The 27,404-nt window shown below is 51.7% G+C and overlaps 1 protein-coding gene and 1 long non-coding RNA gene across 18 annotated transcripts in view, besides 8 other annotated features; one reads left to right on the top strand and one right to left on the bottom strand.

Annotated features, from left to right (window-relative positions):
• The window catches only part of B9D1 (B9 domain containing 1), a 43,219-nt gene that overhangs the window by 5,796 nt on the left and 10,019 nt on the right, over positions 1-27,404 (top strand). For 7 of the 17 annotated variants that reach the window (NM_001321219.2, NM_001321218.2, NM_001321217.2 and 4 more), the window contains exons 1-5: positions 9,395-9,611; positions 11,730-11,798; positions 14,167-14,278; positions 24,238-24,334; positions 24,787-24,849. In NM_001321219.2, the coding sequence (NP_001308148.1) occupies positions 9,549-9,611; positions 11,730-11,798; positions 14,167-14,278; positions 24,238-24,334; positions 24,787-24,849 (404 nt within the window). In that variant the 5' untranslated portion in view covers positions 9,395-9,548. Of the gene's footprint in view, positions 1-484; positions 570-7,516; positions 7,683-8,344; positions 9,612-11,729; positions 11,799-14,166; positions 14,279-24,237; positions 24,335-24,786; positions 24,850-24,921; positions 25,169-27,404 lie in introns of those variants that run through there. The other 10 variants (XM_047435753.1, XM_047435751.1, XM_047435754.1 and 7 more) reach the window with 6 other exon arrangements.
• Positions 386-9,341, bottom strand: LOC105371573 (uncharacterized). Its single transcript, XR_934302.4, has 3 exons — positions 8,947-9,341; positions 8,608-8,638; positions 386-2,651 (listed from the first exon to the last, which is right to left on the bottom strand). It is a non-coding gene; the product is annotated as an uncharacterized LOC105371573 (long non-coding RNA).
• Positions 565-624: a silencer, noted in NCBI's record as "silent region_8289". NCBI's record gives its function as "represses an Ori minimal core promoter by ATAC-STARR-seq in GM12878 lymphoblastoid cells {active_cell/tissue: GM12878}" and the evidence as "EXISTENCE:reporter gene assay evidence [ECO:0000049][PMID:35858748]".
• Positions 8,552-9,336: an enhancer, noted in NCBI's record as "H3K4me1 hESC enhancer chr17:19266095-19266879 (GRCh37/hg19 assembly coordinates)". NCBI's record gives its function as "activates a minimal SCP1, AML or CMV promoter by ChIP-STARR-seq in primed H9 embryonic stem cells {active_cell/tissue: H9 hESC(primed)}" and the evidence as "EXISTENCE:reporter gene assay evidence [ECO:0000049][PMID:30033119]".
• Positions 8,926-8,995: an enhancer, noted in NCBI's record as "active region_11857". NCBI's record gives its function as "activates an Ori minimal core promoter by ATAC-STARR-seq in GM12878 lymphoblastoid cells {active_cell/tissue: GM12878}" and the evidence as "EXISTENCE:reporter gene assay evidence [ECO:0000049][PMID:35858748]".
• Positions 9,486-9,755: a silencer, noted in NCBI's record as "silent region_8288". NCBI's record gives its function as "represses an Ori minimal core promoter by ATAC-STARR-seq in GM12878 lymphoblastoid cells {active_cell/tissue: GM12878}" and the evidence as "EXISTENCE:reporter gene assay evidence [ECO:0000049][PMID:35858748]".
• Positions 9,796-9,935: an enhancer, noted in NCBI's record as "active region_11856". NCBI's record gives its function as "activates an Ori minimal core promoter by ATAC-STARR-seq in GM12878 lymphoblastoid cells {active_cell/tissue: GM12878}" and the evidence as "EXISTENCE:reporter gene assay evidence [ECO:0000049][PMID:35858748]".
• Positions 13,917-14,416: an enhancer, noted in NCBI's record as "H3K4me1 hESC enhancer chr17:19261015-19261514 (GRCh37/hg19 assembly coordinates)". NCBI's record gives its function as "activates a minimal SCP1, AML or CMV promoter by ChIP-STARR-seq in naive H9 embryonic stem cells {active_cell/tissue: H9 hESC(naive)}" and the evidence as "EXISTENCE:reporter gene assay evidence [ECO:0000049][PMID:30033119]".
• Positions 26,228-26,522: a silencer, noted in NCBI's record as "tiled region #2588; K562 Repressive non-DNase unmatched - State 7:EnhWF". NCBI's record gives its function as "represses a minimal TATA promoter and a strong SV40 promoter by Sharpr-MPRA in K562 cells {active_cell/tissue: K562}" and the evidence as "EXISTENCE:reporter gene assay evidence [ECO:0000049][PMID:27701403]".
• Positions 26,228-26,522: an enhancer, noted in NCBI's record as "tiled region #2588; HepG2 Activating DNase matched - State 5:Enh". NCBI's record gives its function as "activates a minimal TATA promoter and a strong SV40 promoter by Sharpr-MPRA in HepG2 cells {active_cell/tissue: HepG2}" and the evidence as "EXISTENCE:reporter gene assay evidence [ECO:0000049][PMID:27701403]".

Below are 27,404 nucleotides of genomic sequence, written 5' to 3'. Positions count from 1 at the left end.
TGTGTAAGCGTTTCTACCTTCATCTTTCTCTGAGGGGGACTCGGGTGATGCATCATTGTCCCTGGTTACAGGTGACAAAATGGGCTCAACTGTGGGAGGGGCCTCTGTTTGTAGGACTCCCTGCACCAGGTTTTCCTTCTTTACACACACACAGCTCTCTGATTAGTGCCAGCAGCCACAAGTAATCCGGTTCAGTCACCCAGTGTGTGGCTGGGGCATCCAGGAGGAAGCCCAAGTGGCCAAACCACAACCCACACCCATGTCTGTGGCAGCCTCTCCCACAGCCCACACTCTGAAGGGCAGGCAGTTGTCTTTCTGCAGGACCCCCACCCCTTCCCCTTCCCTGCCTTCCTTGGCAGGCCCTCCTGCTCCAGGGGCCATCTACCCGCTAGGACAGTCTTGGGAAGGATGGATTGTCCCTGTTTCATGAAGGGAGGCCAGTTTAACAGATGAATCTGCCAAGGACACTGTCTCTTCCCAACAGGGGTATTGCAGGCACCAATGGAACAGGTTGGGGAGGAGAGTTTGGGACCAAGAACACCCATGAACCCTTAGAAGCCACCATAGAGGTAAGGACTGAATTGTAATCCCATCAGCTGGTGACCTTAGGCAAGTCTCGGCCCTCTCTGAGCCTCAGTCTCACTTCTGCAAAATGGGAGTAGTGATCTGTTCCCCGGTCCTGCAGGAAGGAATCTCGCCAAGGCTGAAAGTGGGGTGTTGATCTAAATCATAACTGGTTCCAGGCGCCTATACACACACGTTGACACACAGACAACACTCTTAGGTACAGGTTTACATTCACAAAGATTTGCACAAACACACACAGAGATTTGCACAAGCACACACCCAGGGCACAGGTACACACAAGCTACTGGGACATACATGCTAGGTACACACACGGGACTTGCACACAAAAATCCACACACAGGACGCACAGCCACACACACACTCCTCCCTCCCTCCAGTGCTGCTGCCTGTTCGCTCTGCGTCAGCACACACAGTGGCCAGGGCCACCTGCCTTCTTCTCCCTGTATCAGGAAAATCGCAGGGGATGATTGCATCTAAAAGTGCCTTACATGCAGGGGCTCAGGGTGAGCAGGGTTCACCCAGAGAGGCGAAGGCACCAAAGCAGTGGAAAGCAGTGGGGCTTGATGGGCAGGCTGGGCTTTGTTGTGGTTGACCTGCCCATAGGACATGGAGGATCCAGGCCTTCAGAATTGACCCCTGCCTTGGCTCAGCTCAGTGTGGCATTTGCATGCGGCCCTCCCCGTGGGAAAGGGACTGCCCCTGAGGCCAGCCTATGAGCTGAGTGTGGTTTTGGTGGAGGAAAGGGCAGGAAGCCGCATCTGGGAAGTGGCTGCCCATGGCTTCCAGAGGCCTGGCTGGGTGGCTGACCTCACGGCCAGATGGCTCCAGACACCTCTCGGGGCCTCACCCCTGCTTCCACCATTCAGCACAGCCAGGCTGACCACAGACCTGGGTGGGGGAACCTGGTCACATCCTGTCACCACGCCTGGAGTTCCACCATTGGTGCTGCAGTCCTCTATGGTCCCAAGAGAGCCCAGCAGCTGAGCAAACACACTGAGGCTGACATCGCCCATCCCAGAACATTCCCCAAGGCCTGTGTTTGCCTCCCAGAAAGATCCCAAGTCTGTGAGGGACACACACAGCACATGTCATCGAGATGTCAACCACACAGCCACACGCCCCTTCTCCTGGCCCTCTGCTCTTCTCTGGAATGGTGGTATCTCCAGGCTCAGCCAGGGGCCATCTCCTCTGAGGGTTGTTCTCCCTGAGCTCCAGATCCAACACCCAGTTGTCCTACGACATCTCCCCCGTGTGCACCCTGAGAAGCCACTCTGCACAGTAGCCAGAGCAATCTTTCAAAAAACAACTCAAATCGTGTTCCTGCAACAGCTGCCCCATCTCATGGAATAAAATCCATCACCAAGGCTTGCAAGGCCCTGCCCATGAAGAATGAAAGGGCGATGGGAGGTGGCCGTCGGTGAAGTACCCAAGTTCTCTGAGTCCAGGGTGTGGTGACAACTCTAGCTTGTCTGGTTTCCTGTGAGATCATCATTTCACCCATCAGTGGTGTGCTCCCTGCCCAGTTTCCTCTCTCAATCTGCAGGAAAAGCCTGTAGGAAATGACGGAGGGGCGGGTGTGGTCCAGGGTGACTTGGGGTGTGGGCCATGTTTGGCGGGGCACTAGGTAGGAATCCTGCTCTGAACATCTCAGGAGGAGGGAATGGCCATGGGGTGGGCGGAATCACACAGCGAGTCTTCCAGAAGCAATCGTGAATCTCCATCTTCCACCTGCCACCTGGGTTGCTAGCTAAAATACAGGATACCCAGTGTTTTAAGTTGGAATTTCAGATAAACAACAAATAATTCTTTAGTTAGGTATGTCCCGAGTAGTGCATGCATCCTGTATTTTTCTTTGCTAAGTCTGGCAAACCTACCTGGATGACCACATCTGCCTGCTCCTCGGCCTCTCAGCTTTCCCCCCACACCCACACAGAGGGACCCTGTAAAAACCCAACTCACTTAACCTCCAGCCACTCAGGCGCTGGGTGATCTGGGCCTGGCGAGTTCTCTGACCTCATCTCCTACCCCCAGTGATGTGCTGGTAAAGTAGCACGTCCCGTTTTCTGAGAAAAAATAAAATATAAAATAGTAAAGCCCTGATTGTTGCATTGGCCAATTTCCTTAGTGTAAATATTCCTTCCGTGGCTGATCGCAAGCTACCAGCATGACACACCGAACGCGGCCCTGGGAAGAGGTGCACAGTTGTCTCAGTGCAGGCAGGCTCCAGACTGCCCCTCCCTCCATGCAGGGCCTTTGCACCGACTATGCTCTTTGCCTGGACGTACACACCCCCAGATCCGTGCATGACTCAACCCTTCACTTCTTTCTGGACTTTGCTCCAATGTCTTCTCCTGAGAGGAGAATTGCTTGTCTACCATAACCCTATACGCTTCCCTATCCCTCGCTAGCTCTTTGCCATGCTTCATGTTTTTTCTTCATAGCAGTTCTCAAGAACAAAAAAAGAATGTCATCCACTTCACTGTTTCTCAGAGGGGGAAAATGTAGCTCTTAGAAACAAGCATCCTAGAACCGTCAGAGGTGCTTATACTCAGTAACATCCAGTGTTAAGAAACAGAACTCATGGTTCTGGGTTTGTTTTTGTTTTGTAAGAGATGGGGTCTTGCTGTGGCGCCATCAGCTCACTGCATCCTCAAACCCTGGCTCAAGTGCTCCTCCCGCCTCAGCCTCCCAAGTAGCCAGGGTCACAGGCCCACACCACCATGCCTGGCTAATTTATTTATTGTATTTTTCTTAGAGACGGGGTCTCTATTTGCCCAGGCTGGTCTTGAACTTCTGGGCTCGAATGATCCTCCTGCCCCAGCCTCCCAAAGTGCTAGGATCATAGGCATGAGTCACTGTGCCCCGCCCCCAAATGAATGATTTTTAAAGACCTACGATTTTTTTCAGAATTTGGCCAGCAATTCAACTTGTCTGTCTGCAAGTAAACTGGACTCCAATCATGTCATCATCTTCACTGTGGAGACCATTGCTGACATTTACTGAGCCCTACTAGTAGGGATCTTATGTTCCTCATTTTCCCAGAAGCTGAGTCTCAGAGAGGTTAAGCAAACAGCCCAAGGTCACATAGCCAGTGAGGGGGAAGAGTTTGGATTGGAACTCAGCTCTGTCTGCTGACTAACTCCTAGAAGAAGCTACTCCAAGCACTTTCTCCCGTGAGCTTCAGGGGTAAAGGGGGCATGCCTAGCCCGAGTCACGGTTTAGAAAGGCCAGGGATTCCCGCAGCCCTTCAAATGACTTAACAGGAGAGTGAGATAGTCCAGGCAATGCCCTCTTCTCATTAATGAAGATTTTGAGGCCCAGAATACGGCAGTGACTGGCCTGGGCTCACACTGCAAGTTGAGGAAAGGCTGATAATGGAAACTGAGAGCCCTCTATCCCACCTCGGGCTCTGCCTCAGACCCAGACCGGTTTATTCTGTTATGCTGCAGGAGGCTGGATCCGAGTTGTCTCTCCCCATGTCAGACTCTAGGCCCTCCCTGTGGCTGGAACCCGAGGGCCCAGCCCTACCCACAAGGCCTCAGGGCCCCCCAGAGTGCTCCCCAAAGACCTCCACTCATGCATTCACTCAACAAGCATTTAGTAAATGATCCCAGTGCACCCACCCTCCACTGCATATGCCGGGACTTTGAGTCTGGCTGGGGAGACCAAGTCAGACCACTAGTGTGGAAGGGCTGTGACCAAGGGGCTGAGGAAGCCCAGGGAGAGCCCCTAGACCAAGTTGGGGATCAGAAAAAAGACATCCCAGAGGAAGGGGCATTTATCGGGCTCTTGAAGTTCAACAGGAAGCTTCCAGGCAGAAATGGCAGGAAGGACTTTCTAGAACAAAGGAACAACATTTGCAAAGACAAGGTGATATACAGAATGCCCCTGAATTATACACATAAAAAATGGCTGATTGGCCGGGTGCAGTGGCTCATGCCTGTAATCCCAGCACTTCGGGAGGCCAAGGCAGGTGGATCACTTGAGGTCAGGACTTTGAGCCCAGCCTGGCCAACATGGGGAAACCGTGTCTCTACCAAAAATACAAAAATTAGCTGGGCATGGTGGCAGGCACCAATAATCCCAGCTACTCGGGAGGCTGAGGCAGGAGAATCGCTTGAACCCAGGAGGCAGAGGTTGCAGTGAGCCGAGATGGCGCCACTGCACTCCAGCCTGGGCAACAAGAGCGAAACTCTGTCTCAAAAAAAAAAAAAAAAAAAAGATTGATTTTAGGTTATGTGAACTTCCTCTCAAAAAATAAACACACAACATTGTTGAGAACGTCATGTGCAGGTGCAGAGGCCAAAGCGGCTCCATCTCAGAGGCAAATCTGCCATGCTGGCTTCTGATTGACCCCAGTTCCAGAAAGGCCTCTAAGATTTCTACTTTATCTACCGTCACTGGCAATGCTGATCAATTGTCCTACACACCCCTTCTGAAGCATGTATGCCCTTTCCCTATGCTATACATGCCCTGGCTCTAGAGGTAACAGTGCAGAGACCTACATGTCTCGTGACCGCCCTAGACATGGCTTCTGTTTATGTGCCTCTATTAAATGCTTCTTTCTGAGAAACCAGATTTGTCTGCCTCTCTCTTTGGCCTCTCAGCCCCTGTAGCTTCTGGTTTGCATGGACCTGCCCACCTAGAACCGCAGGCATACAGTACTTCAAGCCTGAGGGGAAGGGTGAGGTGAGGCCCAAGGAATCGTCAGGGACAGGCCACAAAGGGTATTGACTTTGCACCATTTGTGAAATTCAGCCGAGTGCCTGCACCAGGCATTTCAAGCAACCGGTGTTCCAAGTGTGGCCCCTCCGCTGAAGAGCCAAGAGGCAAAGACAGAAGGAAAGACCTATAAGGCCTTTGAGAGAAATGATTTGGGGACTTGGAGTCACAGGGACCCTGATTTGAATCCCAACTCTGCTTCCAACTCACTGTGATCTTGGGAAGTCGGTTTGTCTCTGAGCCTCGACTTCCCCATCTGTAAAAGGGGGCTAGGAGCACTGGTCTGGGGGGTCACTGTGAGGAGCCCAGAATCACAGGGGCTCAGGACTTCGTGGGGGTGTAAAGAGAGGGCACATGGGATTATTATTGTTACTGTTGGTCTCAGCCAGCTGCCCTCTCTGCCTCTTACCTGAGACGGGGCAGAGCAGGACTCTAAGAAGTCCCCTGCCCCAGGACCCAGGACAAGCTCCTGGGAGGAGGATCTGGAGACCCCAGCGCCAAGTCTGTATGCAGGATGCCTGCCCCTAGTGTGCACCCCAGGGCTCCCCACCCCTTGAAGGTGCTGAGGGTGGACCCCGATGACCAGGGCAGAGCAGATGGAGGGCTGTCCTCAAGGAGGCCCAGCTTCCTTAGAGATGAGTGAGCTCCCTGTCTAAAGAGAAAAGCAAGCAGAGCCGGACACCCACTTATAATGAGCTTCTGGGTGGGAAGTGGGGAGCAGACTGTGGGGCCAAGGGGAGAGGCGTTCAAGGAAGACTTCACAAGAGTGGGCTCTGAAGGCTACATAGGAGTTCTCTGGGCGGATAGGTAGGAGATGATGAGCTAGGTAGAAGGAACAGCATGTGCAAACCAGGAGGCATGAAAAAGCAGGAGCACCCCAGGAATGACTTCAGCAACAAGAATAGCTGCAATGTATACACCTACTATGTGCCCATAAACTTTTTAATTAAAAAAAAAAAAAGAATAGCTACAAATGTATGGAACTTTGACATATATTATCACATTTAATCCTCACAACAACCCCCTGGGTGTGATGAGGAAACCGAGGCTCCGAGAGGTTAAAGGACTTTCCCTGAGTCACATAGGATTCCACTGCAGGCAGTCTGATTTTGAGCTGGAGGGGTGAGGGGTGGAAGCTGGGCTGCAGAGATCGCAGGGCTGGATGGAAAGAGATGCATGGTAGACCTGCAAGGCCCTGGGACCCGGAGCTGAGCTCTGAGGCTTCAGTCTCCTGAGGTGCAGGGTCCAGGCTGGCTGAGGCCTCCAGCAAGAAGGGCCCAGACAAATGGCTTGGCCAGGCCAGCATCTTCCTGGACACCTGGTGCCGCTGTGAGGGGGCCCTCATCTCCCAAGAGTGGGTGCTCACAGGCGCCAACTGCTTTGACAGGTGGGTGCACAGCCAGGAGGGGTGGTGGAGAGGGGCTCCAGGAGGGTGGCCCCCAGCCTCTCCAGCTCTCCACCTCCCCTTCACCTCCTCTCTCCACAGTTGGCCTTGGTCCCACTTCAGTGTGACCTTGGGTCCAGATCGACTGCAGATGGACTCTTGTGAGATCAGGTTACCATGGGGGAGCTGCTCTTGTCCTCAGCAGGGCCCGAGGGCTCTGGGTTTGGTAGCCTGGTCCTGGCACAACTGGCAAGGGGCAAGGCCTCCGTCGCTCACCAGCGCTGTGCAGGCCGTCCCCCTGGCCACTCAATCCCACTGTTCCCTCTTCCTGAGACAGCTCTGCTGGGGCCAGGGGTTTGAACCCGATTTCAGTAAGGATGGGAGCAGAAGCCTGGGATGGTTGAGAGACTGGGGGAGGCAGATGGCCAGGGTGGAGCTTGGGACCCTGCAGGGGCTCTGGCCAGCTGCCCGGCAGCACCATGGCCATAGGCATGCAGGGAAGAGGGCTGGCGCTGACACCTGCTCTGCTCAAGCCAGCTTCCAGCCTCACCCCTGCCCAATGGCTGACAGCCCCGCCTGCCCAATGTGCTGGAAGCTTCCCTGAGGGGACTGCGTGGGAGTGTACCAGAGGACAGAGCTGTACTAAGAGTGAGGTGGGAGCGAGGAATGTCTAGGAGCCCAGGAAGGCATCTGGGGGTGGAGAGACTTGGCACAGGCACAGGCAGGGAAGCTCAGCAATATATGTTAACAACCAGCATGGCTGGACTGGTGCAGATCGGCTGGATGTCAGCTGGGCTGAGGGTCTGCCCCACCCCATTGCAGATCCCTACATCCCACCCCAAGAGCTGCAGAGTGTCCTGCTGAGATCGCTGTGTGTCAGCATCTGCAGAAACTACCTTCTCCTCCAACCTGACTGTCCTGACCTGAAGGACAGCCTGCCCAAGGACTTCTAGTACACCAGGCTCTCCACTGGGCCCTTGAACTGGTGGTAAGGATTCCAGCAGGCCCTATGCAAGCCCCTATGCAAGCCCCTGAGACCCCTCTCCTAAAGTCGCTTCTAATGCCACTAGACTTGTTAAAGTTAGGCCTGGTCACCCTCCCATCCTATCCTGGAGTCTTCCATTCCCCAACACCCAGGGGTCGGGCTTATTTGTACCCCTGAAGGCCACCCTAGAACTTCCCACCCCTTGGGGAGACTCCCCCATTATGTCCTATTTGAATGTGGGGCCACCTTTGGTATAGCCAGGTCTTAAACTACTGGGAGCCCCCAGTTATTCGATAACTACAAGCATTTTGCTGAAAACTAACTTGTGTGCAACACCGAGCCTCAAAGGCCAAAGGGAGGAAATAATTGGGTGAGACTGATAGAATGTGTGGGAGAAAGCACTTTAACTGGAAAGAGATGGACAGAGCGGGGGAAGAAGGGAGTATGACCCCCTCTCCAGGAGGGGAAATGGGCCCTGTCTTGGGCTCTGGGTGCAGCACTTGGGCCACCAGCCCACCCATCCCCTCCCCCAGCTGCTCTTGTCAGATGTGTGAACTGGTTACCCGCTGCCTCCCTCCCCTGATCAAATATCTTTGCTCACTAGGCAGGGGGTGGTTCAGTGGGTGCAGGCTGGGCTGAGACTGCTCCTTCCCTCCCTCGTGCAGATGGTTGATGGGACTCCCCTAGTCTGCTCCCAAGCTAGAAGCTGCAGAATGTGATGACCTGGGGTCCCTGCTCGGAGCCTGGCCTCCCGGGAGTCTACACACCTGTGAATCCCTTCATTTCCTGGATCCAAGATAATGTCTCCAACGTCTCCTTTGACACCTCTGCCAACAGATGCTGTTGGGGCTGGCCCAGGACAAGACAGAGGCAGTGAGGGTTGTTAGCCTCTGGAGTCCTGGGTTTGAATCCTGACTTAGCTACTTACCTGCCTTTGCCATCTGAATCTGTTTCCTCCTCTGTAAAATGGAGATGTCTTCAATTATTCATTTATCAACAAGTTAGTAGTTACCAAGTGCTTACTCTGTGACAGGCCACTAAGATACAAGACTGTATCTTGACAGATTCGTGGATTTTGGCTAGCAACTCCCCTGAGCGCTGGCTGATTGGGGTGCCAGGCGCCGCCCGCTGCGGGCCTCAGTTTCCCCAGCTTCGAACTAAAGAGCGATGGCTTGGATGTAAGGATTCTTGAGGTCCCTCCCAAGTTTGTTTAATAAACTTTTTCGAGGGCAAGCGTCTCCAAGCCACAGGGGCGCATCCTTTTCACCTGCTTGGACGCTGCTTGGCCCCAGCTGGGGAGGCTCCTCCGAGCACCCGGCATTCCAGAGTTAGCCCCGACAGCTGTGGTCACGTCGCCCGTGCTCTGCAGCGCCTCCCTCCGCGTCCTCGCGGTGGGGCCACAGCGACATCTAGTGGCTGAATGTATTTTAAACACTCGGCTTGCTGAGGGCGTGAGTCGGAGCGCTGCTCCCCAGGACTCAGCTCTCATTCGCCTCTGCGCTTCGGCGGGGACGGGGAGCCGGGCCGAGTCAGAGTGAACACACACTCCCTGCGCGTGCAACTGAGTCGAGCGGTAGGGCTGGCTTTACCCGACAGGTCAACGCTCCCGCCCCAGCTCTCGGTCATACCTGCCCTAAGGAGGGGTGGAGCCTCGGCGTGGATCCCCGCCCCTTGTGCCCCGCCCCCTTATAACGGCGCCCGTTCACTGCGCCTGCGCATGCCACACGCGCACTCGCGTGGCCTTCGCGAAGGTGTCGCTGCCAAGAAACGTGTCCTGCGCGCTACGCCGTCTGTTTCTAGGGCAACGCCGGCGTCTCTTAGCAACCGCGCGCGGCCTAGGTGGGTCCCCCCGGCACCCCCAGACCTGCCATGGCGACCGCGAGTCCTAGCGTCTTTCTACTCATGGTCAACGGGCAGGTGGAGAGCGCCCAGGTGAGCGGCCGTGGACCCCGCCGGGGCCCGCCCCCCAGCGTCCCCCGGGGCCCTTCCCGCAACCCCCCGGGCTGCCCTGTGGCCCCCGGAGAGCCACGTCATTCCTCTGAGCCTCTCGGTTAGGCGGGGGAGGGGAGCCAGCATTGGAGAGCTTGGCGCGAGGTTGCCCGGATCCTGAGTCCCGATGTGCAGGAATAGAAGCAGACCTCGAGATGTTGAGCTAGTACCGAGGTCACACTCGGGCAAGCCTGTGGGCCCTCGCACGGGTCATGCCCACTTGCTTGGATCACTGGCAGGAGCCTCCTGGGGTTAACGCGAGGAGCCGAGGCTTGGCCGAGTTTCCAGCATTTGCGCTGTGTCCCGTGTGGAGTTACTGTCCCGCGTTCTGAATCCCCAGATCCTTGAACTCGGGTTCGAATCCAACCATCCAACAATGGTGGTGGCCTGGAATTGACCCAAGGAAGGTGTGCCTGCTAGGCCCGAGGGACGCTATTCCCCATCCCCCTACACTTTAGAGGAATCATTTATTGTAAATATAAACCAACGCTCACCAAGTCCTCAATATGTCCCAAAGTCGGTGCTCCGCACTGGTCCACCCTTACAGCCTTACCAGATAGGCACTACTAACACCCCCATTTTACAGCTGGGGAAATATACCAAAGGAACTGGCCTGTCTGGGAATTGAACCCACGCCTATCTGACCTCAAAGCTTCACTACACTGTCCTTCCAGGCTGTTGGAGGTGGTGTTTATTATTATTTTATAATATTATTGTGAGGATTGACTGAGACGGTTTGGGTAAGGCTCTGACAGGGCCTGATGCTTTGTAGGTGTCTCCTGCCTTCCTATTTCATCAGGGATACTACTCCATGCTCCCACCCTGTCCGCCTCTGCCTTAGCCTAGTGCCTAAGACCGTCTTTCCCCACTCTCCTGTCCTTTCCTATTAGGGGCTCTCGGCTGGGCTGAGTCACATGTGTCTGTGCTCTCAGCATCAGCGACCCCCCCGCCACACACACACTGACAGTCACACTGTTCCTCCCTGCTCTGCTCTCAGCACCTCCCTCTTTTCAGGGCCTCAGCTCCAGCCTTGCATATGATGGCTTCCTGGGTTCTCAGACCTTTCACTTCAGCACCATTCCCTTACACCAGTGGTCCTCAACCTTTTTGGCACCAGGGACTGGTTTTGTGGAAAACCAGGTGGCGAGGGATGGTTTTGGGATGATTTGGGGACATTACATTTATTGTGCACTTTATTTCTATTATTACCTTGTAAATAATAATGAAATAATTATACAACTCACCATAATGTAGAATCAGTGGGAGCCCTGAGTTTGCTTTCCTGCAACTAGATGGTCCCATCTGGGTGTGATGGGAGACAGTGACAGATCATCATGCGTTAGATTCTCATAAGGAACATGCAACCTAGATCCCCCACATGTGCAGTTCACAGTAGGGTTCGTGCTCCTATGAGAATCTAATGCCGCCACTGATCTGACAAGGAGGTGGAGCTCCCGTGGTCATGCGAGCAATGGGGAGCAGCTGTAAATACAGTTGAAGCTTTGCTTGCTCGCCTGCTCCTCACCTCTTGCTGTGTGGACCCGTTCCTAACAGGCCACGGACTGGTTGAGGACCCCTGCCTTAGACCTTATCTGTGCCCAGCCCTGTGCCAGGCAGTGGGGACACAGAAAGGCATTAAATCTCTTCTCTACTCATGGTCTAGAGGAACTGACAGACTTAGACACAGGCAATCATTGCTTTTATGGAGGGAAGCACGGGGCTAAGGGAGCCAAGAGGAGACCTTAAACCAGCTTGAGAGTTAGAGCAGGCTCCCTGAAGGGTAAGTTTTGAAGGGTGAGCAGGAGTTTTCCGGATGAAGTAGGAAGGACAAATCAGACAAGGCAGAGCCTGAGCAAAAGCCAGGGGCCGTGGCACCTGGGAGTCTCCCGTGGACTCCCGCTTCTTGGTCCTCAGCCTCTCCTCTGAACACATCTCCAGCCGTCTCTTAGACCCACTCCCAGGTGTCTCACGTTCAGAATTCCCCTTGGCTGCACCTGCCTAGCAAATGCATTGGCCTCAGCATGAATACCAGTCGACAGAATCTGTCTGTGCTTTTTTCAGTTTCCAGAGTATGATGACCTCTACTGCAAGTACTGCTTTGTGTACGGCCAGGACTGGGCCCCCACAGCGGTAAGCTGGACTCTTGGGCCTCCCTTACCGCCTTCATGACTTTTGGGGTTTCTGAAGGTGTCATATCCTTCCCCTCCCCATTCAGAACAAGTTAAGAGGTAGAGACTGAGTTCAGGGGAACCCAAACATGAGTGTTCCTGGTAAAGCGGGAGCAGAGGACACAGCCATGGTTGGACTCCCTGATCCATCCACCAAGACTGCACTCAGAAGCCCTACCCTGTGAGCTTCCCCGGGGCAGCAAAGAGCAACACCTGCAGTAGGAGGCAGGCCCCAGTGAGCCAGCCTGGACGTGGCTGAGCTGTGGACACTCTGGCCAGTCCGCTCACCATTTGGCCTCTCCTCAGCCAGTGGGGAGGACCTGGAGTAAAAAGACAGAGTAGGAGCTCTCCTTCCAGGACTTCCCAAGGGGTAGCTTGCCTCCACCAGGTGAGGGACTGTGGTGACAACTTCAGCCCGCTCTGTGCTCTGCTGTTTGCAAAGCACTTGTTTCATCTTCATAGCAGTTTAAGAAAAGGAGACTGAACTTATTTAAGCTCTCTGAGCCTCAGTTTCCTCATTTGTACAACTGAGATGATAATCCTTCTTTTCCCTTTATTGATTGTCTTCTGGGTGCTGGGGATGCAGGGGTGAGCAAAGCCAAACCAGAAGACCCTGCCTTCCCGGAGCGCACGTTCTTGCTGGGGGGTCAGATAATAAGGAGTGCATATTCTAGGATGTTAGTAAGCCAGAAGTGTGAGGGGAGACCAAGCCAGGAAGTGACAGGGATGAGTGATGAGAAGGAGGCTGCGATCTCGCTAAGGCTGCCAGGGAGGGCCTTGCCGAGAAAGTAACTTTTGAGGAAAGACCTGAAGGAAGTGAGGGAACAAGCCATGTGGAAACCCGTGAGAACTGTCCAGGCAGAAACAGCAGAGAGTGCAAAGGCCCTGGAGCAGGAGCTTGCCTGGCATGTTTGAGGACCAGCAAGGAGGCTGTGTGGCCACTGGAGAGCGAGCCAGCAGGAGAGTGGCTGGAGCAGAGAGGCACCTGGGCAGGTCTTGTCAGAGTAAGGACTGTGACCTTTACTCAAAGGGAGATGGGATCCCACTGGAGAACTTTCAGCAGAGAAAGTGATCTGACTTATGTTTTTAGAAGATTCCCTGGCTTCTACGACAAGGATAGACTCGGGGGGAAAGGGCAAGAGCAGGCAGCCCAGTTGGCTCTGACAGCAGTGGAGATGGGAGAGGAGGGCAGTGGCAGTGGGGTGGTGGGAGGGGCTGGACTGCAAGTATATTCTGAAGATAGAGCCGCTGGGTTCTTTTGATGGATGTGAGGTCTGAGAGAAGGAGGAGTTAGGATTCACAGCAGGGCTTTTAGCCTGAGCACTTAGAAGTAGGCAGCTGCCTTTCAGTGAGAAGAACAGATTGGGGAGAGCTACCTGGAGCTCAGCCTGGTGTGGGTTAAGGTTGAGGCACCCACTGGATATCCAAGAGGAGGTGCTGATCCAGAGTGCAGAGGCAAGGACCAGGCTGGAGACATAAATTTGGGAATCATCGACATCTAGAGCACATTGAAAGCCATGAGATGGATGAGATCACCAAGTACAGGTAGAGGAGCTGGCCAAAGATGCAGCCTTAGGACGGCAACACTGAGAAGGAACCAGCAAGAGCCACTGAGCAGGGGCCACCCTGTGCAGTGGAGAGACCCAGAAGCCAAGGGAAGACAGTGTATCAAGGAGTAAGCAGCTGCATCAGGTGCTGCTGATGGGTCAAGTAACACGAGGATAGAGAAATGACCATTGGATCTAGCAATGTTGGTCACGGGCATTAATGGAGAAAACCCTTTGGTAGAGTGCTGGAGCCAGCAGTCACATTGGAGTGGGGTCACAAAAGAATAGCAGGGGAGGAATTGGAGCCGGTGAGTGTGGCAGCTCTTTGAGGCAGTTTTGCTATAAAGGGAGCAGAGAAAGGGTTGGTGGGTGGAAGAAGCCGCAGAGTTGAAAGAGGACTATTTTTGATGGAGAAAACACATTTACGTATTTACCGATGGGGATACTCAGGTGAGGATGGGGATACTCAGGTGAGGGTGGGGATGCAGGAGAGTGTAAGCATGCTGGACCATTCCTTCAGTGGGGCAAGAGCTTGGGACCAGATCTAGTGCCCTTGTGCCCGGGAGAGTGGCTGGCCTCCCAGGGTTGTCAAGCTACGGCGTTAAAGTACCAGACTTAAAGAGGTACTCCATCATCTCTTAGTCCCCTTTGTTTGGAAGTTCGTGTCTTGGGAGAAGACAGCTGAGAAAACAGCCCTCCCAACTGCCTGCTGAAGGTAAGGGGAGGAGCCGCAGCAGCTTGGCTCTGCTCTGAATCCAGCCGTCTGTGTCACTGTCCTCACAGGGTCTGGAGGAGGGGATCTCACAGATCACATCCAAGAGCCAAGATGTGCGGCAAGCACTGGTGTGGAACTTCCCCATTGATGTCACCTTTAAAAGCACCAACCCCTACGGCTGTGAGTCTGCAGGGGCCCTGTGGGGTAGGGTGGCAGAGCTTTCACACAGCACCCCCAAGACAGCCTCTGCCTCATCCAGCCCATGACTGTTCACATTCAGATTGTCACCTGGGCTCTTGAAGCAGCCCTCAACGTTCTCTCTCGCCATCTGTCCCTTTCCCTCCTCTTCTTCCTCATCCCCACTCACCCCCTTCATCTGCTACAGGCTGTGCAGCTGGCCTTCTGGAAGTTCAGAGTGCATCAGGGCTAGTGGCCACGCCTGTAAAAGGCAGGCTCCCCACCCTGGCATGCAGGACTGTGGCTGTTTGGCCTGGAGGCCTGACTCTGTGCCTGCTGACTTCCCATGGCGTGTTGTGTTCCGGCTAGACCCTGGCACTTTCTCCTCCTGTGCTAGTCCCTCAACTTTCTTCATCTGAGCTTTATTCATGCCGATCCATCTGTCTGGATACCATTCCCACGTCCTATGTCTAACCTCTTTCCCAAGGGCTTCCTGGCTGGCATTGCTTACTTTCTACCTTGGCTGGTGGTTATTAACCATTCTGATTGTTCACTTGCACTTCATAAGTGCCTACTGTGCACAAAGCCTGGGCTTAGTCTCCATGGGGACTATGAATACTTTCACTGTGTGGACTTATCCGAGCTTCCCAATCATACCTGCTGGAGAGATTTCTCTCCATTTCTTTTCCCATATAAGGAAACTGACACTCAAAATTGACATCATTTGCCTTCTGCTTTACATCTAGTGACCAAGTGTGGATTTTAATTCAGGCCCATCTGATTTCACAATCTAGGCCTTTCTACTGCACGTGGCCTGGGCCTAGGCTTACCACGGTGTGGAGGGTCTGGAGCAGAAAATGCTTGGTGGTCCTCCTGAGCAGGGAATTCCATCCTGCTGTCATCATCCATGAGTAGGAAGTTTCAATAGACTTCCTGGAACAGTGCAATAGGTACTGTAGGTACTGGACGAACCTCCTCCTGCCGAGGACAGGTAGGAGAGGTAAATGTAATACACAAAAGCAAAAACAAAAAGCAACTACCTCAGAGGCATCAGAGAGCTAGCAAAGTAGAAGAGATTTACCAGGCAAGATCCAGGAGAACAGAAATCCAGAGAGGTTACCCCAATCCCATCTCCTCTGGGAGTGTTTGCTGATTTCAATAGAGGTGATTGAGAGACTGATCAAGACTTTTGACAGCCTCTCTGGGTCCAGGACACAAAAAAACTGATGTTCAGAGCCTTCCAAGGGGTTGGGAGGAGGGCCTCAGGTAAATCTCACCAACTGGGTTAAGACCTCAAAGAGCTGCCCTAGGAATAAGGGAGAGATGGAAGCAGAGCAGCCTCACAGGGATTTCAGCTCAGCCCCTGATGATTTCAACCTCCTGATTCTTCTATTCAGCTCCAAGATTGTTACACCAAGGCACCTGACAAAAACAAATTAGAAACCTCTTTGGGCTGGGCATGGTGGCTCATGCCTGTAATTCCAGCACTTTGGGAGGCTGAGGCAGGCAGATCGCCTGAGCTCAGGAGTTTAAGACCAGCCTGGGCAATATGGCAAAAATCTCTCTCTACTAAAAATACGAAAATTAGCTTGGCATGGGGGTGGGCGCCTGTAATCTTAGCTACTTGGGGGGCTGAGGCAGAAGGATCGCTGGAGCCTAGGAGGTCGAGGCTGCAGTGAGCAGAGATTATGCCACTGCACTCCAGCCTGGGTGACAAAGTGAGACCCTGTCTCAAAAAAAAAGAAAGAAAACTCTTTGGAGAAAGATAACATCTCATAGACATAAAATTATTTCTATATATTTTTTCAAATGTAGTATCTGGCATATAATGAGGCACACAAGAACCAAGACAACATAAATGATAACCAGCAAAAATAAGGCAATAAAGCAATAGAGATAAACAGAATCTCTAGACACTGAAATTGTCAGATATATTTTTACTATGATCAAAAGAGATAAAACAGACTGAGAATTATGGCAGAGAACTAGGAAGCCTGACTTTTTTTTTTGAGACTGAGTCTTGCTCTGTTGCCCAGGCTGGAGTGCAGTGGCACGATCTCAGCTCACTGCAAGCTCTGCCTCCTGGGTTCATGCCATTCTCCTGCCTCAGCCTCTCGAGTAGCTGGGACTACAGGCACCCACCACCGTGCCCGGCTAATTTTTTTTTTTGTATTTTTAGTAGAGACGGGGTTTCACCGTGTTAGCCAGGATGGTCTCGATCTCCTGACCTCGTGATCTGCCCGCCTCAGCCTCCCAAAGTGCTGGGATTACAGGCGTGAGCCACCACGCCCAGCCGATTTTTTTTTTTTTTTTTAATTGCAGACAGAGTCTTGCTCTGTCTTTCTGAGTAAAGTGGCGCCATTTCAGCTCATTGCAACCTCTACCTCCTGGATTCAAGCGATTCTTATGCCTCAGCCTCCCCAGTAGCTGGGACTACAGGCATGCACCACCATGTCCGGCTAATTTTTTGTATTTTTAGTAGATACAGGGTTTCACCATGTTGGCCAGGCTGGTCTTGAACTCCTGAGCTCAGGCAATCCTCCCACCTTGGCCTAAGAAAGTTCTGGTGTTACAGGCTTGAGCCCCATGCCTGGCCATATTTTTTAAACATTGTAATAGAAATTCTAGAATTGAAAAATATGATAACCAAAAGCAGGAATTCAGCAGATTAAACACAGCTGAAGAGATAACTATATACTGAAAGGTCAAAGGAAAATATCTACAGTGAAACCCAAGAATAGAAAATATAGATGAGAAGGTAGGAGACAGAGAATACTGAAAGTCTGCCATATGGAATTGGAATCCTGGAAGGAGGGGGAGAGGACAAGCTGGAGACAATATTGGAAGGGATAAATAGCTACAATTCTTTTCAAAAATGATGAGAGACATCAAGCCACAAATTCAAGAAGACAAAACTCAAGCAGGATAAATGGAAGAAACCCACCCCTAGGTGCATGATAATCAAACAGTTGAAAACCAAAGACAAAAAGAAAATCTTTTTTTTCTCTTTTTTTCGAGACGGAGTCTTGCTCTGTCACCCAGGCTGTAGTGCAGTGGCGCGATCTCGGCTCACTGCAACCTCCGCCTCCCAGGTTCAAGCAATTCTCCGCCTCAGCCTCCTGAGTAGCTGGGGATTACAGGTGCCTGCCACCATGCCTGGCTAATTTTTGTATTTTTAGTAGAGATGGGGTTTCACCATTTTGGCCAGGCTGGTCTTGAACTCCTGACCTCATGATCCAGCCACCTCAGCCTCCCAAAGTGCTGAGATTACAGGCATGAGCCACTGCACCCAGCCAAAAAGAAAATCTTGAAAGCAGCTAGTACACAGATGTATGCATTTGTCAAAATCCATTGAATAGTACACTTTAAGATTTATGTTTCATTATGCATAAATTTTATCTCAAAAGAACTGTGAACAAATATTGAGCTCTATTTGCTGACATGCATAGTGAAGTATTTTGGGGAAAGTGTCCAGAGATCTGTGATTTACTTTGAAATTCCTCACAAGTAGGAAGAGTTGACTGAGGCATGGGGAGAGGCAGTAAAGCAAGTAGACTCAGCTGTCAGTGGTGATCCGGTAGTGAGTCAGCGCCAGTACATTGGAATTCTTTTAGCTTTTCAGGAGGAGTGGAGTATTTTCTTTGACCACAGTGAACTTAAGCTAGGGACCAATAGCAAGGATAATGAGAAAAATCTCCATATGTTTGAAAAATAAGAAAATAACTTCTAAAAACAACCCATATGTCAAAGAAGAAATACTGATGGAATAATGGAATTTTGAATTGAATGATAATAAAAATACTGAGCTATTTGAATTTGCAGGGGGCAGTTAAAGTCATGGATAGAGGGAAATTTTGTCATTTTATTTTATTTTTAATTTTTATTTATTTATTTAATTTTTTGAGACAGAGTTTTGCTCTTGTTGCCCAGGCAGGAGTGCAATGGCACGATCTCGGCTCACTGCAACCTCCTGCTCCTGAGTTCAACCGATTCTCCTGCCTCAGCCTCCTTAGTAGCTGGGATTACAGGCATGTACCACCACGCCCGGCTAATTTTGTATTTTTAGTAGAGACAGGATTTTTCCATGTTGGTCATGCTGGTCTCGAACTCCTGACCTCAAATGATCCGCCCACCTCGGCCTCCCAAAGGGCTGGGATTACAGGCGTGAGCCACCATGCCTGGTCGTATTTATTTATTTTTTGAAATGAAGTCTCGTTTTTGTTGCCCAGGCTGGAGTGCAATGGCGGGCGGTCTTGGCTCACTGCAAACCTGCCTCCCGGGTTCAAATGATTCTCCTGCCTCACCCTCCCAAGTAGCTGGGATTACAGGCGCCTGCCACTATGCCCAGCTGATTTTTTTTGTGTTTTTATTAGAGATGGGGTTTCACCATGTTGGCCAGGCTGGTCTCAACTCCTGACATCAGGTGATCCACCCACCTCAGCCTCCCAAAGTGCTGGGATTACAGACCTGAGGCACTGCGCCTGACCAATTTTGTAATTTTAAATGCATGTTAGAGAAGAAAATAGGCTGAAAAATTAATGATTTCAGCATCTCTCTTAAGAAATTAGTGGCTGGGTACGGTGGCTCATGCCTATAATCCCAGCATTTTGGGAGGCTGAGGCGGGTGGATCACGAGGTCAGGAGTTCAAGACCAGCCTGGCCAACATGGTGAAACCCCATCTCTACTAAAATACAAAAAATTAGCCAGGTGTGGTGGTGGGCTTCTGTAGCCCCAGCTACTCAGGAGGGTGAGGCAGGGGAATCGCTTGAACCCAGGAGGTGGAGATAGCAGTGAGCTGAGATCGCGTCACTACACTCCAGCCTGGCGACAGAGTGAGACTCCATCTCAAAAAAAAAAAAGAAGTAGTAAAAGAAGGCTGTGTGTGGTGGCTCACGCCTGTAATCCCAGCACTTTCGGAGGCCAAAACGGGTGGATCACCTGATGTCAGGAGTTCGAGACCAGCCTGGCCAACATGGTGAAACCCCATCTCTACTAAAAATATTAAAAATTAGCCAGGCATAGGCTGGGCGCAGTGGCTCATGCCTGTAATCCCAGTACTTTGGGAGGCCAAGGCGGGCGGATCCCCTGAGGTCGGGAGTTCGAGACCAGCCTGGCCAACATGGAGAAACCCTGTCTCTACTAAAAATACAAAATTAGCCAGGCATGGTGGCACGTACCTGTAATTCCAGCTACTCGGGAGGCTGAGGCAGGACAATCACTTGAACCCGGGAGGTGGAGGTTGCAGTGAGCCAAGATCATGCCATTGCACTCCAGCCTGGGCAACAAGAGCGAAACTCCGTCTCAAAAAAAAAAAAAAAAAAAAAAAATTAGCCAGGCCCGTGGCAGGTGCCTATAATCCCAGCTAATGGGGAGGCTGAGTGAGGCAGGAGAATCACTTGATCCTGGGGGGCAGAGGTTGCAGTCAGCTGAGATTGTGCCACTTCACTCCGGTCTGGGCGAAAGAGTGAAACTCAATCTCAAAAAAAAAAAGAAATTAGTAAAAGAATAGCAAGTTAAACCCAAAGAAAGCAGAATAGAATGAGAAACAGCAGAAATTAATTCATTAAACAGAAAGCACACTTACAACAGAAGAGATGAAAGAGGCAAAAGTTGGTTTTTAAAACTGAAAACCCCAAGTTAAGACGATGAAAAAACAGGCTAAGTGGGGTCACTCACACCTATAATCCCAACACTTTGGGAGGCTGAGGCGGTAGGATCGCTTGAGCCCAGGAGTTCAAGACTAACCTGGGCAACATGGTGAGACCCTGTCTCTACAAAAAATAGAAAAATTGGCCAGGCACAGTGGCTCAAACCTGTAGTCCCAGCTACTCGGGAGGCTGAGGTGGGAGGATTGTTTGAGCCTAGGAGTTTGGGGGTGTAGTGAGCTATGATCATGCTACTGCACTCCAGCCTGGGTGCCAGCGCTAGACCCTATCTCTAAAAAATAATAAGAAGAAACAGAAGACAGAAATGGCAGGAATGAAAAAGGAACATGTTACAGATCTTGCAGACAGTAAAAAGATAAGATATAAAGAACAGCCATTTGCTATACATTTGGCAAGGTAGATGAAATGGTCAGATTCCTAGAAAAAGATAACTACCAAAACTGCAAAAAAGGAATAAGAATCTGAGTAGTCCTATGTCTATTAAATTGAATCTATAATTAAAAATGTTCTCACAAAGAAAGTTCCAAGTCCGAGTGTCTTCATCACTGAGTTCCACCAGGCATTTAAAGAATGACACCTTCCATGGCAGAAGTGTAAGAAAAAAAAGAAGAGGAAGTAACGACAGATTTACACAAACTCCTAGAATTGAAAAGATTAAACATTCCCCAGCTTTTTTAGGTCAGCATAGTTTTGATTCTAAAGCCTGCTGAGGACATTAAAAAGAAGAAACTCCTTCATGAACAGAGTTGCAAAACTCCCAAACAAAATATTCAGAAACTGAATTCAAAACTCCTAAATGAAATATTCAGAAACTAGCAAGATAAAAAAAGGATAATATAATACATCATGAGAAGTAGGGTTTATTCCAAAAATACAAAGGTTTTATGACATCTATAGTTGGCCAGGCACAGTGGCTCATATGGAGGCCGAGGTGGGAAGATTGCTTGAGGCCAGGAGTTTGAGACTAACCTGGGCAACGTAGCAAGACCCTGTCTCTAAATAATTCACCACATTAAAAAGAAGAAAAGTCAGAGTCAGGCCAGGCACCATGGCTCACACCTGTAATCCCAGCACTTTGGGAGGCCGAGGCAGGCAGATCATTTGAGGTCAGGAATTTGAGACCAGCCTGGCCAACATGGTGAAACTCCTTCTCTACTAAAAATACAAAAATTAGCCGGGTTTGGTGGCGCACGCCTGTGATCCCAGCTACTTGGAAAGCTGAGGCAGGAGAATCGCTTGAAACTGGGAGGCAGAGGTTCCAGTGAGCCAAGATTGCACCACTGCACTCCAGCCTGAGTGACAGAGCAAGACTCCATCTCAAAAAAAAAAAGAAAAAAAAAATCATGATCATCCCCATAAATGAAGAAAACACATGGTAAAATTCAACTCCCATTCATGATAAAAGCTTAGTAAACTAGGAATAGAAGGAAGCTTCCCTAACCTGATCAAGATTATCTATGAAAAGCTTAGAGCAAACATCACTTTTACTGGTGAAATGTTGAAAGATTTTTTCTGCAACCTCGGCCTCCTGGATTCAAGCGATTCTGGTGCCTCAGCCTTCCAAGTAGCTGGGATTACAGGCATGCACCACCATGCCCGGCTAATTTTTGTTTTTGTTTTTGTTTTTATTTTTGAGATGGAGTCTTGCTCTGTCTCCCAGGCTGGAGTGCAGTGGCACGATCTCAGCTCACTGCAACCTCTGCCTCCTGGGTTCAAGCAATTCTGCCTCAGCCTCCGGAGTAGCTGGGACTACAGGCACATGCGACCACACCCAGCCAATTTTTGTATTTTTAGTAGAGATGGGGTTTCACCATGTTGGCCAGGCTGTTCTTGAACTCCCATCCTCAGATGATCCACCTGCCTCAGCCTCCCAAAGTGCTGGGATTACAGGTGTGAGCCACCGCGCCTCGCCTAATTTTTGGATTTTTCATAGAGAAGGGGTTTTGCCACGTTACCCAGGCTGGTCTTGAACTCCTGGCCTCAAGTGATCTGCCACCTCAGCCTCCCAAAGTGCTGGGATTACAGGCATGAGCCACTGCTCCCAGCCTGGTCTTTTTTTTTTTTGAGACAGAATTTCGCTCTGTCGCCCAGGCTGGAGTGCAGTGGCGTGATCTCAGCTCACTGCAAGCTCCGCCTCCCGGGTTCACGCCATTCTCCTGCCTCAGCCTCCTGAGTGGCTGGGACTACAGGCGCCCGCCAGCCTGGTCTTTTTAATAAATGGTGCTGGGACAATTTGATATACATAGGAAAAAACTTCAGCCTGTCCTCATACACACAAGTCAATTTCAGATGGATATGTAGCATAGAGGACTATAGCCATGATATCAGGGTAAGGGAAGATTTTCTGGCAGGACTCCATGAAGGAGAAGATCAATGAAGTTGACTATATTAAAATTAAGGGCTTATGTTCATTCAAAGACATCACTAAAAATGAAAAGATAAGTCACAGGATAAACACACATATACACACTATAAATCAATAAGAAAAAGGCCAGGCCAGGCAAGGTGACTCACACCTGTAATCCCTGCACTTCGGGAGGCTGAGGCAGGAAGATTGCTTGAGCCCAAGAGTTTGAGACTAGCCTGGGCAACATAGTGAGACCCCATCTCTACAAAAAATTTAAAAATTAGGCATGGCAGCACACGCCTATAGTCCCAGCTACTTGGGAGGCTGAGGTGGGAGGATCACTTCAGCCCAGGAGGTTGAGGTTGCAGTGAGCCATGATTGCACCACTGCACTCCAGCCTGGGCAACAGAGCAAGACCCTGTCTCAAAAAAAAAAAATGTTTTTAATGAAGAAAAAAGAAAAAGACCATCAAGTAGAAAACCGGGCAAGAGACTTGAGTAGGTTCTTCACAAAAGAGGACATCCAGGTGACCAAGAAACAGGTAAAGGTCTCAACCTTATTTCAGTAAGAAAAATCTAAAATGAAGGAAAATATAAGTTAAAGCTACAGTGAGCTACCACTATTCTCTCACTAGGACGGCTCAAATTTAAAAGATTGGTAATGCCATGTTTTCGTGAGGTACAGAGGAGCAGGAATCAGATACCACTGCTGGGGGAGTGCTGGCTGATAGGACCATGCTGGCAGCTTGGTGTTACCTTTTGGGAGGGAACATACATGGGCCCTGTGCAGTGTCATTCTTGGGTGTGTGCCCACCAGAGATGTGTGCACGCGAGTACCGAGAGCCTGCGCCATGGTGCTCAGCACTGGGTGCGTGGCCCCCAGAGGAAGGGCAGCCCATGTGTCCATCAGCACTAGAATGAACAGTCATTGTGACAGATTCCCACGCAGAATGTTATATGGTATTGAACATGAACACGCCCCTTTACAGGAAACCATTTGAGAAAATCTAATGGACATAATTTTGGATTAGAGTCTGGGCACAAAAATAAATGTACTGTATAATTCCTTTTGTATAAACTTTCAAAAACATTGGTAAAGGTAAAGTACCAGGTTTGGGATGCATTCTTTGGCAGTGAAGTCTTAAAGAAAAGTAAAGAGGTAGTTTCCTAAAATTCAGAATAATGGTTACCTTTGGTGGAAGGTAGTAATGGGAAGGGCACAAACCTCTCCCTAACATTTACTGAGCACTCACTATGCATTAGGTACTATTTCATGTGTTTTAGAGATGATGAAACAGGGGCAGAGAGGTTGGCTAACTTGCCTCAGTCGTGGCTGCAGGATCAGAGCCTGTCAGGCCGGCTCCTAGTCCCTCCCTGGGCCTCACCTGAAACTGGCGAGGTGAAAGTGCCTCATGCGCCTCAATGGCAACACGAAGCGGGTGTAAAAACAGCCACACCTATTATAGTACCTATAATATTTTAAAGGAAAATGCCCAGAAGGTTTTTCTTTTCTCTCTGACTTCTAGACACCCCCAAAATGAGCCCCTGCCACCTCAGTCCCATGAGCCCGCCTCCATCAGGAAGGGAGCACCCAGAGAGCAGAGGTCCTTAGTCGGCCCTGATCATAGCTGGGGCCCTGGGCCCAGATAAGGCCTCTGGAAGTGCCTCCTTGTACATGGAGTGACTGAGTGGGCACTGACTCCATAGCGGTGAGAAGGGGTGTGGAATGTGTGCCCAGGCCTCAGTGGAGACACAGGAAGTACCAGGGTGGGCAGAAGTCTTTGGCACAGTCTGGGTTCCCATGCCTGCTCCTGTCCCCTCTCAAGCCTGCCACCCCAGAGTTTTGAGCTCCATCCTTTGAGCACCCTCAGCTGGACACGCCCTGTTCTCTGCCCTGCACCTCCCCTGTGTGTCCTCATGTGCCCACCCCCTGCCTTGTCCTTCCCAAGGGCCACAGATCGTGCTCAGCGTGTATGGACCAGATGTGTTCGGGAACGATGTGGTTCGAGGCTATGGGGCCGTGCACGTGCCCTTCTCACCTGGCCGGTAGGTCCTCATTCTGACCTGGGCCCTGGGCAGGACTTGTCCTAGGACAGACTTCACCTCGTTTTCTGTCTTAGGTTCAGGCTGGGAATGCTCTGGGGTCTCCAGGGGCCTGGGCAGCTCAGCCTGGTGGCCAGGGGGGTTGTAGCCTGTATTTGGGAGGAGAACCTTTCAGATGGGTGGTGCCAGCCACACACCAGGTGGGTTGGGGAGGTAGTGGGACCCAGAAAAGAAAAGACCCTGAGGGACTCTGACCTCCATGAGGCTGTCTCCTGGCGCTCAGCACCTTGCCCAGACACAGGGGGTGCTCAGTTAGCACAGGTTGGATTCGTTGACATTGGCCCTGACTTGGCCCACGCTGCAGCTGCACTGGCCTGATCTGAGGGTTTCTTCTCCCTGGAGGCTCAGAAAGGTCTCTTACTCAGCATCTCTGTCTGCAAAAACATTTGTTTCAGGCACAAAAGGACCATCCCCATGTTTGTCCCAGAATCTACGTCTAAACTGCAGAAGTTTACAAGGTGAGTTTTGTACCCATAACCCCAGCCCCTCCTGATCTACTGGATGAATGGATGTCCCATTCTACCCCTCAGTTTGTGCCTGGTCGCCTCCTCAGATCTGCAAGCTGCTCCACCCACTGAGGACAAATAGAAACAGGTCCCCTGGGAGTGCTGAGTCACGGGGCTCCCTTCAGCCCTGTTCCAGCAGCAGAAGGCCGGGCGATTTTACCCTGTGCCCTGTGAAAAATCTTTGTGTCTGAGGGAGCAGAGGAAAAACTCTTGTCAGATGGGAAAAATGCTCATGACATAATGTGACATTAAAAGGTGGGAAACAAGAGGATATAGCAGTATGAGTCAGACACCTTGGAACAGTAATCATGATAAATGCCTTTACATGTGGGAGTCTCTGGCCGGAGCTGACATTTGCGCAGAGGCTTAGTGTGGAGGGAAGAGCCGGGGAAGAACATCAGGCACAGGGAACAGTGCCTGCCAGGCTGAGGAGAGCGTGAGCTTAGCATGCTAGAGAAGCCAGGACGGTGGTGTGGCCAGGACGGCAGTGTGGCCAGTAAGTGGTAAGCCAGGCAGAATGAGGGAGACATCAGGGAGGCAGGCAGGGGCCAGGACACAAGGGCCTGCAGGGAGGGCCCAGGGGATGCCTGGATGCAGCCCCAGCATGAAGGCCTCTTACCCCTGCTCACATCCAAGTGGGAGCTTAGAGGGCCAGCTGGGCCCTGGCCTTCTGACTCGAGGACCATTAGCGCAGTTGGGCAGCAAGCCTCTGCCGCCCACCGGCAGATTAGTGAGGCACAAGTGGAACATGGAGGACTCCCTGGGTTCCAGGGCAGCAGCCGGCAAGCAGCCCCTGCGAGCCTGGCCAGTACTGGGCGTGAGACCAGGCCAGAGCCCTGCTGGGTGGAGGGACAGCATCGCGCCCAGGGCCGAGAATGCTTCACTGAGCTCTGAGAGCCGTGGAGGGGAGGAAGGGCAGGGTCTCCGCTGGCCTCAGCCTGAGAATTTGTGTGCCTACTGCCCCTAGGAGTCCTTCTGGGAGGCCACCCTGTAGCAAAGGACTTCTTTCCCAGATGACCTGGGCCAGTATCACCTGGAGGTGACAATCCCCATGCCACAGGCTGTCAGGGAGGCAGCGAGGCAGTGCCCATCAGTGGGTTGGGAAAGCCTAAGAGACTGGGGACCCACACAGCCATCCAGGCTGGGTTATTCACCCTGTTCCACCGCCCACAGCTCCAAGGAGGACTTTGGGCCTCCAGGGGACAGCTCGCTGAGGAAAGGGTTTCACAGCCCCTGTGGAGGGGCTCGCAACTGGGCAAGGCAGTATGTGCTTGGATTACAAAAACTGGAGAAAGTTCTGATTAGTGAAGGCAGTTTGATTGGCAGAATCTTCCCAGATATGGAGGCTCCTTGCTCAGGCTGACACCTCGGTCATCCCCACCCCTCTCCCAGCCTCTCCCCACATCCTCCAGCGCTGGCCTAGGGCCTGCCCCAAACACTCTTGGCCACTGTATTCGTTTCCCACGGTGGCTGCTGCAACAAAACACACAAATGTGATAGCTGAAAACAGCAGAAATGTATGCTGAAGGCCAGAGTTCAAAATCCAGGTCACTGGGCCCAGAAAAGGCACCACAGGGCTGTGCTCCCTCCCAAGGCTCTAGGGGAGACTCTGTTTATTGCCCTTTCAGTTTCTGGTGGCCCCAGCCTTCCTTGGCTTGTGGCCTCATCACTCGAGTCCTGGCCTTTAGGGTCCACCTGGATAGTCGCCTCAAGATCCTTAGCCTAATCATATCTGTGCAAAGTGCACGTGACCCTGTTTCTCAATAAGGTCACGTGCACGGTTTCCCAGGACTAGGATCTGCTATCTTTGAGGGGCCGTCATTCAGCCTGCTGCCACCCCTCCAGTCTAGTCTTCACATAGCAAGAAAAACGGTGTTCCTAAAACACAACTGGGGCTGCACCCCTCCCCTGCTAGAACCTGTCTCTGTCAGAATGAACTTCAACCAGAATGCTGCCAGGCCGGTGGTCGGGCCCTGCCTACCTCATGGCCTCTGCCCACTTGCTTCCCATCTACCTCAGTTCCTGCAGTCTGAGGGGTCCTTCCTTGCCTCAGGTCCTTGCCTGGAATGCTCTCCCAGAACAGCCTGTCTTGTCTCCCCAACCCCAGCCAGCTAAGCAGACCACCCGGGTGGACCCCAGGAAAGAAATTCAGTGGGAACGGGAGCTCCATGTGAGCTCCGGGATGGGATCTGCTGGGCACAGTGGGGATGCTCCCAGGCCCCAGTCCTCATACATAGCCTCTTGTGAGGTGGGTGCTGTGAGAGTCTTGCTCTCCCAAAGGAGAAACTGAGGCGCAGGGGTTGTGGCTGCCCATCCCTTCCCCTTGGGGAGCGCCTGCTGGCTTTCACTCTCTGGCTCCCTCCTTGGGGTTGGGGGCTGGTGGGCAGTGCTCCCTGGCTGTGGTCTCCACAGGCCAACTCTGCGGCAGCTGAGAGCCCCTCCCTGGCCTGGGCCCCTCTGCAGCCGCCCCAGGTGAGCGCTGGTGCCCACCTCAGAGACGGAGAGGC

The sequence above is a fragment of the Homo sapiens genome, chromosome 17, assembly GCF_000001405.40.
Source record: "Homo sapiens chromosome 17, GRCh38.p14 Primary Assembly".
Classification (NCBI taxonomy): domain Eukaryota; kingdom Metazoa; phylum Chordata; class Mammalia; order Primates; family Hominidae; genus Homo; species Homo sapiens.
Note: the sequence above shows the minus strand (reverse complement) of the source record. Positions and strands in the feature narration are given on the sequence as shown.